General features: G+C 34.8%; 1 protein-coding gene across 10 annotated transcripts in view, besides 1 other annotated feature; it reads right to left on the reverse strand.

Moving 5' to 3' along the window:
- The window catches only part of ARSJ (arylsulfatase family member J), a 79,364-nt gene that overhangs the window by 10,263 nt on the left and 54,622 nt on the right, over positions 1–14,479 (reverse strand). For 2 of the 10 annotated variants that reach the window (XM_024454215.2, XM_011532238.4), the window contains exon 1: positions 7,183–7,754. The exons of the other annotated variants lie outside the window; for them this stretch is intronic. In XM_024454215.2, the coding sequence (XP_024309983.1) occupies positions 7,183–7,209 (27 nt within the window). In that variant the 5' untranslated portion in view covers positions 7,210–7,754. Of the gene's footprint in view, positions 1–7,182; positions 7,755–14,479 lie in introns of those variants that run through there. 10 annotated transcript variants of the gene reach the window in all.
- Positions 7,986–9,185: an enhancer, noted in NCBI's record as "BRD4-independent group 4 enhancer chr4:114839688-114840887 (GRCh37/hg19 assembly coordinates)". NCBI's record gives its function as "activates an origin of replication core promoter dependent on BRD2, P300/CBP, MED14 and CDK7 cofactors, and independent of BRD4, by STARR-seq in HCT116 cells {active_cell/tissue: HCT116}" and the evidence as "EXISTENCE:reporter gene assay evidence [ECO:0000049][PMID:35650434]".

The raw sequence follows: 14,479 nt of genomic DNA on the forward strand, positions 1-14,479 counted from the left end.
CTAATTTTCCATATTCTGAAAGGTGTTTGCTTATGACTGCCTTCCAAAAGACTCTCTTGTCTATAAATAAATTCTATTTATGGGCCTTAATTTTATCTTTCAGTTAATTATATCTTCTGGAAAGGGGTGAAAGTGGGGCGGGCTGTGGCAACAAATATATGCCTAGTTGTTTAATCTCATGAATAAGTGAATTAATTGCTTGTTTAACACTCCTTCTCCTACACTGTGCTAGCTTTGGGGATTACAACAGGTGAATAAGATGGTCTCTGCTCTCAAGGAACTCAGTATAATTGGAGAAACAGACAAGCCATTAGAGGATTATTATGACAGGACTAAGTGTTAGAGTAGAGAACCACAGCATTTTATAAGTGCTCATAGTAGAGTCAGGACACCTCTCAGAAGGGGCCATGTTTCATTTGAGTTTCAGTGCATTCAGGAGTATCTGGGTGAGTGTGGAATGAAAGCAGGTAGTGCAAGCAGCTGAAACGACTTGGACAAAAGAGCATTCACAAGGGAAGGTGAATCTGAGATGATTTTTGCAGCAGGAGGAGCCATCCAGGTGAAGAGTTGAAGGGAAGACAAAGTGTTTCAGTGAGAGAAGCAGAATGTTTGAATGCAAAAAGTGAGAGAGAATTTGGGTCTCTGTAGATCAACAATTTAGAATATTAGAATATAAGGGGAGAGATTCAGACATATCTTGACTAGTCTATAGAGGTAAGTAGGTGCTCAATGACAGGGTGCTGTATTAGAGGATAGAGCTGTACTAAGGTTTTCTTACTTAATGTGAAGGTCACAGGAAGTCACAGAATACTTTTGAAAAGAGAATGACACAATCGAAGCTTTGCGTTGGAAAAATCAACTCTGGTTGTAGTGTGAAGAATGGATTGGAGTGGAACAAGACCTAGGCAGGGAGAAGTGGCCTAATCTAAGAGATAGAGGATGATATCCAAGACTGAGATTTGTTACAGTGAGGATGCAGTAAAGGGAAGATTAGATATTATAAAGAGAGACATTTGATAGGGTTACAGACTATATGTGGGAAGTGTGGGAGAAGGAAATGTTAAAGATGAGTCCAAAGTGTCTGGTCTGGGTGGCCGGGTGTAAGGAAATCTTTGCATTGAGTTAAGAAATCCAGAAAAGGGATAGGAATAAATAGGAAGACAATGATTCCTGCCCTGCATTTAGCTAGAGGCACCTGTCAGATATCCACTTGGAAATGTATAGGATAAAGTAAAATAAATATTTGACGAATACATTTTAGCTGCTCCTGACACATGCATGCACAAAAGGGTAACTATGTGAGATGATGAGTGTGTTAATTTGCTTCACCATAGTAACTAATTTAGTACTTATGGCTAGCCCATTATATCATGCTGTATACCTTAAATATATACAATAAAATGTATTTAAAAGAAAAGAGTGGTGTGCTACCGAAATTAGATCACCATAAGGTTTTTCACCTGCATTAAAGTTAAGATGATAGGTATTTCTTAATGACAAATAGTGGAATGCAATGTTACCATAAAAATGCAGTTAATTTAATTATGAAATAGAGATTTGAGACTCATTAGCTTTTAGGCAGTAGGCGAATTCATGGGAACTCATGTCGTCATCTAAAGACAAAATGGAGAAGGCCATAGATGGAGCCCAGGATATACCATCATTTAGAAGAAAAGCAAGAAGCAGCATTAAAAGAGTCTGAGGTAAATCAGCTACCCTGTGAGCTAGAGTAGTGGAGAAGAGTTTTAGAGTCAACTGCATCACTTACTATAGAGAAGCCAGGAAAAGTGAGAATTGCACAGCATCAACTGGATTTGGCAATAAGCATGTAGACCTTATAAGCTATTCTTTAGTAGAATGGTGTGGGAAGAAACCAGATTATAGTGGATTGAGACATGAATGGAAAGTGAAAACGTATAGATGGTAAGCATACACTATTTCAAGATATATAGATGGAAAAAAAAAGAATATGGTGGGACTATAAGTGCTGATGTAGAAAAATGTTTATGATGTATTATTAAGTAAAAGACCATCTGGCTATGGCAGAATATCTATTGTATTATTACATTTTTACAAAAAAATGTATAGGTTCCATGAGGGCAGGAACTTTGTTCACTAGTATATATATATCACCTGAAACAATACGTGGCTCATAACAGCACATCAATTGTTGAATGAATAAATGAGAATGTGTGTGTGTGTGTGTGTGTGTGTGTGTGCATAAAGAGAGAAAGATAAAGAAAAAATGTATACATATATGACAATCTGTTGAACATGATTATTTCTGGGAACATAATAATTGTGGGAGGAGAAGCTTTCAACTTGTTATGTAAATTTACATGTAAATAAAATGTATATGATTAGGTTTCAAAAAAACTAGCTTATTCTACTCAGACTAATTGTATCAAGGCAACTAATTAATTTGAAATAAAAAGGATTAAATATAAATGTCAAATGAATGGACACACTCACTCATCTCCTGTTCTGCCTAGCAGGGACATCTACTCAGGAGATTACCTTCGGACTAGACAAAAGGGGATGGAATCAGCTAAATAAATCTGTAATTACCCCTCAAATCCAGAGAAAATGTCTCCTTTCACTACACAAGCAGATAAGGAAACTTGTCAAGTAACTTTTAAAATTTCTGCCTTTGGATAATCTTTCCTAGTCTCTGCTATTTGTCCTTGCAATTGCCTTACTCATCCACTGTCGGTGAACCTTCAGGACACCAAAGCTTTTTCTACATTGATTACAATTTTCCTGGTCTCTTTGGAAACACAGCTACAAATAACACGCTAAGTGATTCTTTTCTGGAAATAGTTTTCATCCAAAAGTAAGTTTCTTTCCTACTAGATAGTCTTCCCTGACTCTTATTATCTCATGTTCTTTTCTCTTTTTTGGAATTATTTATTTGAAGACCCATACTTCAAAAAAATAAGATTTAATATATAAGTTACAAACTACCAAATACCTACTGACATGAATATTCACTTATGTAATTAATGAATCTCTCATTTATAAGATTACTTACAGAATAAAATGTAAGAGGGAACTCTAGGGGTACATTTTAAAATTATCTAATTTATAGAGACTATTTCAAGGATACATACACTCCATAAAACAAGTGTACCCACACTGCCAAAATAATATTTGTATTTTTCTTGCTATTTTCAATATGACTACAGAATAATGTAAAATTATTTTTAAACAAATGTACAAGTTTTCATCTCCTCTATTCCAAGCAAAAAATGCACTTAGATATGTAGACTAGGGAGTAGCTTAAATACTAAACTATTCCTGATACTACCAACTTTGCCCTATAGACAGGAAATGTTAAGGAAGATATCCTTAAGTAATATCATCGTAATATTAGTTAGAATCCTCAACGTAAGATATAGAGAATTTAAAATCCTTTCATTTTTAAATTTTTATTTATTTATTTTTTGAGATGGAGTCTCACTGTGTCACCCAGGCTGGAGTGCAATAGTGCGGTCTCAGCTCACTGCAACCTCTGCCTCCTGGGTTCAAGTGATTTTCCTGCCTCAGCCTCCCGAGTAGCTGGGATTACAGGCACCCACCACCACGCCCAGCTAATTTTTGTATTTTTATTACAGACCGGGTTTCACTATGTTGGCCAGGCTGGTCTCGAACTCCTGACCTCATAATCCACCCGCTTCAGCCTCCCAAAGTGCTGGGATTACATGTGTGAGCCACCACACCCGGCCTAAAACCCTTTCAATATTTTGAAAACATGATCTCTCACTCTGCTTTACATGAATTGGTCCATTAATATTTAGTTATCCTAATATGGACAGGACTGCCATATTTAAGAAGTTTAACATTTTCTTTGTACCTTTGACTTTCAAGAAAGAAAAATTATCAAAAGTTTCATATTTATATTCACCAAGTGGTTTTTCCAGAAAACAGCCCAACAAAAAAAATGGTAATGTTCTCCCATTCTTGAGCAGAATTGCCTTCTTTTAGCCATGGTTAGGAAAGATCTGTCAAATAACTGAGTGTCTTTGCACCTGCAATTAGCCACACATAGATGAAAGTATTTCATGTCAAATTCATATGGACATATCAGTGTCTTAGCTGCAAGCCATGTGACAACAAACTGAAATCCAAGACAACTTAGTAGAGAAAATGAGGCAGTCTCCAGAAAAAATTATCACAAGTCTATTAAGTACCCACATTATTCCAGGTACTGTACTGCGGAGAAACATAAAGAATAGTGAGAGTTTATGAGAAATAACTCTGTAAGAAACATTGTGGTATACTATATATCCACAGTAGAGAATAATTTTTATGATTTAGAGAAAGCTGAGAAGAGAATATATTTGCTTATTCTTCAAAACAGTTGAGTTTCCTACACTGTCCGTTCATTATTTATAAAGGGCATTTATAATTCTGTGTTATAAAGCAGTTTCAGCTAAAAATAAAGAGAATTATTGAGTAAACACTGCATTAATTTGGTATGACCAGACTCCCAAGGCTACAGGCATCTAGGTATCATTGTAGGCTACAGTGATACCTGATTGATACTATCAATGTAGGCTGCAGGTATCATTAAAACAGTATATAGGCCCAATTAACAGGTATTAGATATCTTTCCCTAAAATATAAATCTCTGAACTTGTAATCTATCTGTGACTTTGCCCTTTTATTAGTGTCTTTTCTAAATTCCAATGGTAAGGGTTATTGGCTCTGTCTCTAATACAGATATTGAGCTATTTTGAATAGTTTATTTAGGATTTATTATTAATGGCGGTATTATTAAGCAATTAGTCCTGGCAGATCAAGATATGGAATTAACATTTTATATTCTGAAGTGAACTTTATAAGTAGCTTATTTAAAGCTACTCTCATTTAGAGAGTAAGAAAATTAGCAAATTAAAATGGACCCTCTGCCCTGATATTTATTATAGATCATCTTTCCTCCTCTACTACATGTACAGTAGCATGGTTATAGCTGACTTAATTTTATATAATTATTTTCATTTAACTTTCTCCTTTATGTAGAAAAATACCCAGAGTTTTTGTCTGAAATATACTGTAGGGATAACAATTTTCAAAACCAGAAATAAAAAGAAAAAATAAATATACCCTGAAGATCTCTAATAAATAAAATGTGTTGCCTTGAAATACCTCCAGGATGAAATTCTCCCCACTCTACCTCTGGATCAGAACATCTGTATCACAGTTACCCTTCATCTGCTGCAGGTAAAATACTTGCCTCATTTCTGTCATCACTGAATATGAAAAGCAGATGGTCTGCACTCTTTCTACAACAATAGAGATCATATTTTTGTTCCCAGAAAAGACATCCCAAAATTGCAAGTAAAGTGAAAAGTGATCACTGCCTAGGCAGACTGTTTCCCTCCAGTGAGGGTTCACTGCTTATAGACTGGAAAGGACACTAACTGGAAAGCTCGCAGTTTTAATCTCACATGCTCTCTAGCAACTCTCTTATTTTCTGCGAAAAGTTTGCCCCTTATGGTCAGGGTTGAATCCATAGCCCAATGTCTCACAGGGTGTTTCCTGGGTGGTATGTGAGAAAATGAATATTTTATATTTGTTATAAATCTGGTGGGTAGAGAGGTTGGTAGAGGGCTTACTTTATCTCTGGACATTCTGCCTAATGACTTGACATCATAGGAATTTCTCCAGCATGTATTGTGGAAACAATCCGGCCTACCTTTTCTATTGAGAGAACCCACAATATCAGAAATCAGAATGCCTGGATTTGAATTCTGCCTCTATAGGCTGTGTAACCTTGAGCATGCCGCTCAACCTGAACCTCAGTCTTTTCATTTATAAAGGCGATATTAATGATAGCAGCACACCAATGCCACAGGATTTTTTTCTTTTTTTGGGTGGTGAGGTATAGAATAAAGTGAAATAAAATATTTTAAACAAATTGCAAATTGTAAAATTTTATAAAAATGCTAGTTATAACTAATTGTTACTACACGTTCTCTCTTTTTTTTGTCCTCTGGTACATCATCTCTTCAACTCCATGTCTTCCTCCCCCTTCTGCTCTATTGTGTGCAAGTGGTGAAATCAGAACGAAACCAAAGCAAAACATGATACCATTGCTTGGGTCTCATGAAATACTATCTTGCCCACTCTCTTTCTTTTTCCTGGTAGTCAGATTGGAATTTCCAATTGCCAAACTGAAGTTCAACCCATGGAGTTGCTTTCTGTTTTTCCTTTTATTTGACTAATGTGTCAGTTCTTTAAATGTCTATGGAGGAATGCAAAGAAATAATTCACAGTGCTCTATGGGGAGACACATGTTACCTTGCCAATTAACTTTATTTTTACAAAACAATAAATATGTGGAACAGAAAATTTTGTAACAAGGAGGATAGGTGCTGAATCTAAAGGAATATTCATGGTATGCTGTGTTGTAATTACTTATAATCAAAAACCAACTGACGGATACATCTCAGCTGGGATATTCCATCCAATTGTTTTCTTATTCTTTACTCATATCATAACAGGTAAGTTTCCAAAATATTATACAAATACTGTATCTATTAACCTGGGAAAGCATACCCATTTTTGATCACAGGTTTCTCAGCTGATTGTATTCTGGGAAGCATCCAGAAAGTACCATTAAAATTCACTGCAGTCAAAGTTGTTTCTTACAGTGTTGCTTCTCTTAGTGCCTGTTGCCCCCTTTCCTGTACCAATGAGAGGAATCATGTGTCCTCATGGTATGCCTTGCCTGCCACCTCCTTCCAAAATTTCTGTTATAACATCCAAAACTGTCACCTCCATATTCTTGAGCTTTTGCAATCCTGGAAAGCAAAATGTTGTTTTAGCTGTCTCTTTACCAAGATACAAGACACAGATTCTGAAAGTTAATTTAAGGATATTTTATAATAATATAAGTGAAAATGCATGTAAAAGTGCAAGGATTAGCTAAAAATTATATTCAGAAGCCATATTAATGCAATTCTTATATGTCACATTCAGAAAAATTATATTAGAACACAAGCTAAAAATAAATCATTCATCACAATATAGTTAGAAGAATATTAAGAGAATAATAAGTGATTTGACCTACTAAAGGAGAATTACACTATTTCCCTTTGAAATTTACCAGCATATTATTAGACTCTTCAATATGATCCTTATGAATCTTCAATATGATTCTTCAATATGAATACTTACCAATAATTCTGAAGTTCTATTATGCATCCTTTATATTAGGTTTATTTTACTTTGAATTGTTATCCTGTAAAACAATATAGCTGAAAATCAAAATGGCAAATCCATTTCAAAGAATTTCTATGCCTCAGTTTCCTAATTTGCATGAAATGGGATTAATAATAACACTTTTCTCACTGAGTTACCATGAAGATTAAATGAGCTTATAAATGTGAGGTACGCAACATAATGCCTAGCACATAGAAACACAATATTTAAGAAATTACGGAGTTCAATATGGTTGTTAGAATTTTATCAGCCTTACATTTCCCAACCTATTGGTTATTGTCTGCTCTTACCTAACCAATGAGTAATAAGAATCTCTAATAAACTACCACTTTTGGTCAACTCTTGATGCAGTAACAAAGAAGAATATCACAATTATCAGAAAACATGACTCAGGCACATCTTCCTTTTCCAGCTACATATATCCACGAGGCTGAATTGTCCTCACACACTTCAACAGAAACAATAACTAGCAACAAGAAATCCAGCTATCTTCTATTAGAGCAGACATTAAAGAGATTTGAAAAAATGACAAATAATGCTACTTTTCTCAGTACTCATCTTTTATTTTGTAGAATATATTTATATTCATAAAATATTTATGTTATGTGTAAAAGGCTTGTTATTACTTTTGAATGAGTAAATAAATATTTTTGAAAATTCTCAGTTTTAGTTTCTATTATGGTAAAAATCAATAGATGTAACTCAGATAAGCAAAAGCTGTTTGGGGTCTTTAGTGATTTGTAAGAATACAAACGGATCCTGATGCCAAACAGTTTGAGAACTGCTAACATCTAAAATTTCTTTAAATTATTTTATGGTTAAAATTTTCTGAATAGATATATTAATCAATGCCAATTTATGCCAAACATTCTTTCTTTAAATTTCAAAAATCTCACATTATAAAACCGAAATAACAAATGATTTTATGATACAGTGTTTTGTAGTAAAAAGAATATGAGATTTGGATTTTAAATTCCAATACTGAATCCATTGCTAATGCTGTAGTAAGATGAAAAAATTATTATTATTATTATTTTGAGACAGGGTCTCATTCTGTCACCCAGGCTGGAGTGCAGTGGCGTTATCACAGTTCAATGCAGCCCCAACCTCCCAGGCTTAAGTGATCCTCTCACCTCAGCCTCCTGAGTAGCTGATACTAAGCGCGCATGTCGCCATGCCCAGAACATTTTTTCTTTAAATTACCTTTAATGCCAAAATATTGGGCTGATCCTGGCATAATTCATGTCAGTGGTGAAATTTTTCCATACTGCTCTCTTCAACTTCTAGAGTATTTGGCTTTGGTTTTTACAAAAAGTTAAAAATAAATAAATATAAAAATACCATTTTTTCCTATCTAGATTGCACTGAAGCTGAGAGATGTGTAGTCCTAGACTAGAAGAAGAGATTCAGCTGAGACCAAGGGCTCAGTTGCAGAAAGAAGTGACCACGAGGCTGTGAAATCCTAATAATAAACTGAAATCCCTGAAAGACTACTGGACTCCTAGAAATCGAAACCAGTCTTATATAGTGAAATCTCAAAGAAAAGGCCGAACCAAGGTGACAGCAAGGTTACACCACAGACTTAGGTAAGTCACTTCTCTATGTATTCACATCTGCTTCTGTAAAGTGGCTCAATAATACTTACCTCACAGGGTTGTTTTAAAAGATTACATGTGTTAATGTAAATGAAATATCTATATAAATTATAACGTGCTCAACTAACTGTTATTGTTGATATTGTGAAAGTAACCAAAGGAGCCCCGAATGTAGTCAGACCACATGGCTTTCAGGTCATGTTCCATCATTTGGCTCCTTCGCTTATCCTTTCTAAACCTAGATTTCTGTATCCATATGAGGTAGAAGGGACATGTGTGATGGTGTGGGCTTTGGGAAGGGGCAGTGTGTGAGGTGGGGAGCCAGAGAGATGGCAGAAGCTTGTTGCTCTGCAACATAACCCCATGTTTTTAGAAAAATTAGTAATGCCTTAGAAAAGCACTGTGAATCTTGTGGAGAAAGAAGAGGCTCATGACTCAGCATGACAAGGAGAGGAACCTGAAAGATGCGTAAATGCAGGAGGGCAGCCTGAAAAAGGCTAAGAAATGTTGGGTGTTGAAGCAGTTTTGTACCTAGCAGGAACCCTGCTTGTAAAGTGAGTATGGTCAATTTTTATTAAAGATTTTTTTTTTTGCAGGAGCTAGAAACAAGCTGCTTCTATAGAAATAAAGCACTTCCTTCTTGTGTATTGTATACCATGCTGTCTATCCCTTCACATTTTAATAAAATAGGGGACAGATTAATATTCCCTCATGTATTTGTTGGAGTAGGACCTTAGAGCTGACAGTTATAGTTTCTGAGAGTTAAAAAAATTAAAAACACTGTTTTGCCAAAGATTGTAATTGTTCTCTAACTCTTACACAAGATGATTTTGGTGAGGATAAAAACGTTTCCACAGAGTATTCATGTTTGCATGAGTGTTCAAATATAAAATATTCTATAGAAAAGCAGCAGTAGGTAATAGGTACAGATGAGCAGACTTAAACCACACATTCATAAAACACAACGGTAAAAGTAAAAATCATCCAGATCACTTTGCAACATCCCTATACACTGTGGACAATAATATGTTTGCAGAAACAAGTCCAAATAACTATTGGTGATACCCTAAAGAAACATACCAGTCAATATTAAGAAAACTCTTCAAAACACTAACAAAATTTCTTCTATTAAATGAGGAGTCTGAAATTAGGGAGCTTCAAGGGGGTTTCAGTTCTAACATTCTCTAAGTCAATGACTTTTTTTAGCCACTAAAAGCTGAAATATAGACTAAATTCTCCTAAAATGAAACCTTTGTTTAAAAAGACAAATCTTAAAGAATTCAGAAGGCTGCATGTCTCTTTGGAGGCTGACAGAAGTGTGGCACGTAGTTATTATTAAAGTCCATGAGGGGACAAGAGTTCTGAGCATTGTCTACTTTGAGTGTCAACTATGAGAAAGTCAGTTTGGCAAGCATTTTATATACATCATCCTATTTTAGAGTAAAAATGAAGTTTTAGAAGTTTTAAGTATCAATGAGGCCCAGGAAACCAGAAATGTCACATTCATATTCTCGAACAATTTAATCTGAACCACTGACAAGCATTAGAATACATTAAATAAAGAGCAATGGCGCTAATAATAACAGACTGGAACATTAAAGCTGGGCTTGCTACATGACATGAGATAGCTGGACTGTATAGGTGCTGCATGGAGTTGATTTAGATTCATCCAACAAAGAGAGAGTGCAGTATATTGTTTATAATTCCCTGAAATACACACACACACACACACACACACACACACACACACTTTAAATAATCATAACTGTGAAACCGAAATAAATAGCTAAAAATTATAAGCTTCAAACTTAAATAAAAGTATGGCCCATAAAAAATTGATTACAAGCCTTGAGAGAAAAGAATCTTGCTGACATATGTGCTTTGCAACTTCCATAAACTGTGCTGAGTATTACTCATTTCAGTAAGAGAAGGAAGATTACAAAGAACAGATCTGTTAAGACTTTGGGGTGGGATGTGTGTTAGTACAAGACTTAGTTAAGATTCCTTAGTTAAGATTCTTTTTGCTTATATAAGCTCTTTTTCTTATTATCTTGGATGATAGCTTTTCTGTTTTAACGTTGACTGAGAAGGGGCAAAGGCTCTCAAAGTTATTCACCTGAAACTACAAAATTTATTTAAAAGCATAAGGAATGTAACCTTTAACCAAGGCTCTGGGCTCTAGATCTCACAAAGCCAGTTAGATTCAGTGGCTTGTTATGGTGAAATTTGTTCACCCAGGCTGTAAATGAAGCCACCAGCTTAGTGAATATTAACTTTAGGAATAATCTCACTAGCCTTGTGTTAATTCAACTTGTAACATAGCCTAGCTTCTCTTCTTAGTCAGAATGCTACTGCACTTTGAGGCCAGCTTTCTTTTTTGCAAACTGCTGAAATAAAGACTATGCCTAGCAGTTTCTCGGCCAAATATGACATAAAATTTCATCTTTCACAATAGTCACATGCAGGCAACCTGGGCACAACAACCAAGAATGGAATACCTTGGTGAAAACTTCAGGTGGACAGTGAGTCTAAATAAATGGGCAAATAGTTTAGTCTATTTGTAAGGAATTCTCAAATAGTTCTAAGAAGAAATCAAATAACAGCCATCATGCTTGGACAACATGGACAGGGCAGTTGTTTCTTTACCTTGTGATCCAACTTCCCCATACAAATGTGAAAGACAGCAGTATCAACATCATAGTTTGTGAGGAAGGTGAAGTAATGTCTACTACAAGAAAGAACATTTTAAAAATCAAGGAAATATCTCTGTCTCTAATTCTCTTCCCAAGGGACATCTTCTGATTAAGTAAAATCTTATGCCTTAGTCAAAGATATTATGTTAGAAAAGTACTGTGCTGAAATTCGTGGTGTGAAATTACAAACCAGCCCAAATCAAATATTGTTATTCAATTTTAAAAAGTTTCAATTACTAAGAGTTTGTAATCAACAAAGAAATGTAATTTAACACTTAATTTTCATATTTGATATGTAAACAGGATTACTAACAAATATTCTAATTATTCTTTCATGATTAACTATTGTTCCATGTTTAATTATGAAATGTGTAACATGATATCATCCCATCAGCTCTATTGCTATGCAATATATTTCCCCCAAATATATTAGACATGTTCTGCAGTTGATGGAAGTAATGGTAGATTCAACTCTGACCAATCACTGTTATATTTTCACTACCTGGAAAATGACAATATTTACAGCTGTCTTCATGCTTTTACTTATACATTACAGAAAACAAGAAAGTACTATTTGATAGTAATTAGATAGCATCAAAAAGATTTACAGTAATATGAAACAGTGTAACAATTTAGAATGCTCTATCTGGTGATTTGTTAAACATGCCAGTTTTGCTTGGTTATATGAAAGCAATTTTCTTAGTATAAGTCAGATTCTTTCCAGTGTACTCCATGGAACAGTGCAATTTGTTGTACTACATACAAAAATGTTAAATGACCTATGTAAAGTTTAATTTTATATGTCAACTTGGCTAGGATATGGTAACCAGATAGTATTCTAGATGTTTCTGTGGAAGTATTTTTAAACATGAGATTATCATTTAAGTCGGTTGACTTTGAGTAAAACAGATTACCCTCCATAATATGGATGGGCCTCTCTGAATTAGTGGAAGGCCTTAATGAAAAAAGACTGATGTCTCCTGAAGATGGAATTCTGCCGGCAGGTTGCCTTAGGACTTGCACTGCTGCATTGGGGTCTTTCTCCTCTGGGTCTCCAGCCTGCAGGCCTATCCTGTATATTTTGGGCTTGCTAGTCTCCATGGCTGCATGAGCCAATTCCTTAAAATAAATTTCTTTCTTTCTGTTTATATACATCCTGCTGTTCTCTTTCTCTACAGAAGACTAATACAAACTATTTCTTGGAATAATAAAAGATGCCTTTAAAGTGTCTTAGAAATACATTATTCTTGAATGCCTTTAATATTTCTTGAACTTTCAGAGAATAAAAAATAATATAGAAGCAAAATTTTGAGGAAAATAGCTCTTAGATTTCAGCCTATGTAGATCAGAGTAAACTGAATTCTACTTATTCTTCAAAAGAAAATATGAGACAAAAATTAAGAAAGAGGAAAAAACTTTTATTTCACACTGAAAGTTGTAAACAAGTTTCTCTAATTAGCGTTAGATTTTCTCTATTGCTCAATAAAATAGTAAACAGGAAAGATTTTGTTCTTTAGTTTCTTTTTAAATTTTCTTAGTAAACAAATATTTTCAATGGTGTATACATTTCCAGCATCCTTTCCAACATCCTATTTGCACTGCCATTGTCCATGTTTAAAAGTAAGGGAGAAGTGATTTAACTAAATAAAATGAAAATTCAGTTTCTTAGTTATATTAGCCATATTTCAGATGTTCAATAGCCATATGTGACTAGTGGGTACTGTATTGGATAGTGAAGATGTAGAACATTCCTACAAAAATAAAATTATCCTATAAAATAAAATTTCCATAAAAATAAAATTCCTATAAAAGTTCTATTGGATCACATTTCTCTAGCATAAGACTGCATAGGTTCAAATTTAGTTCTGGAGCTAATTATCAAGTGAATTTGTCTTCTCTGTGCTTTAGTTTTCTCATAGATAGTATAATAATAAATAGAATCTACTATCTATAGAATCTACATATATATATATAAATATATATAAATATATATAAATATATATAAATATATATAAATATATATATATATATATATATATATATATATATATATATATATAAAGGGGAGTTTATTAAGTATTAACTTACACAATCACAAGGTCCCACAATAGGCTGTCTGCGAGCTGAAGAGCAAGGACAGCCAGTCAGAGTCCCAAAACTGAAGAACTTGGAGTCCAACGTTCGAGGGCAGGAAGCAGCCAGCATGGGAAAAAGATGTAGTCTGGGAGGCTAGGCCAGTCTCTCCTTCTCATGTTTTTCTGCCTGCTTTATATTCGGTGGCAGGTGATTAGATGGTGCCCACCAGATTAAGGGTGGGTCGGTCTTTCCCAGCCCACTGACTCAAATGTTAATCTCCTTAGGCAACACCCTCACAGACACACCCAGGATCAATACTTTGTATCCTTCAATCCAATCAAGTTGACACTTGGTATTAACCATCACAAGTCCACCCCTTGTCAACTTGAACCCATACACATCTCCTGAGATGATATATAATTTTCAAATAAAGACAATAATAAGGTCATAATTACACCTAACATAATACAACTTCCTTCATACAACCAGAAGTGCACTAATCCCCACTCAAATACTATTACATAAAGTTTCAACAATACTTAAAAGCTGATAGAAAGTCAATAAATCTTATGGCATATGATAAAGGAAAAGAAAATGAAGATATTTTCTTAGCATAAGTGTTATACATGCACAAACATGTTCTTAACAAAAGAGGGAGGAAATACTCATGACAGTTACAGTCCTCGTTTCTGCAGCTGGTCACATGGTCGTAGCTGGTATTGATGACTACCTTCTTCTACTACACATTCTGTATTACCTTTGCCCTCTGCAAGCACCTCAGCAGGTTGTGGTTTTTTTTCCTGGTGGACTGACCCAAACCTTCATTCCTGAAGGGTCTGGAACATTTGTAGTCCTGCCGGGATTGGGCTGTTGTAGTTTCCCATTGAC

Source organism: Homo sapiens, chromosome 4, assembly GCF_000001405.40.
Source record: "Homo sapiens chromosome 4, GRCh38.p14 Primary Assembly".
Taxonomy (NCBI): domain Eukaryota; kingdom Metazoa; phylum Chordata; class Mammalia; order Primates; family Hominidae; genus Homo; species Homo sapiens.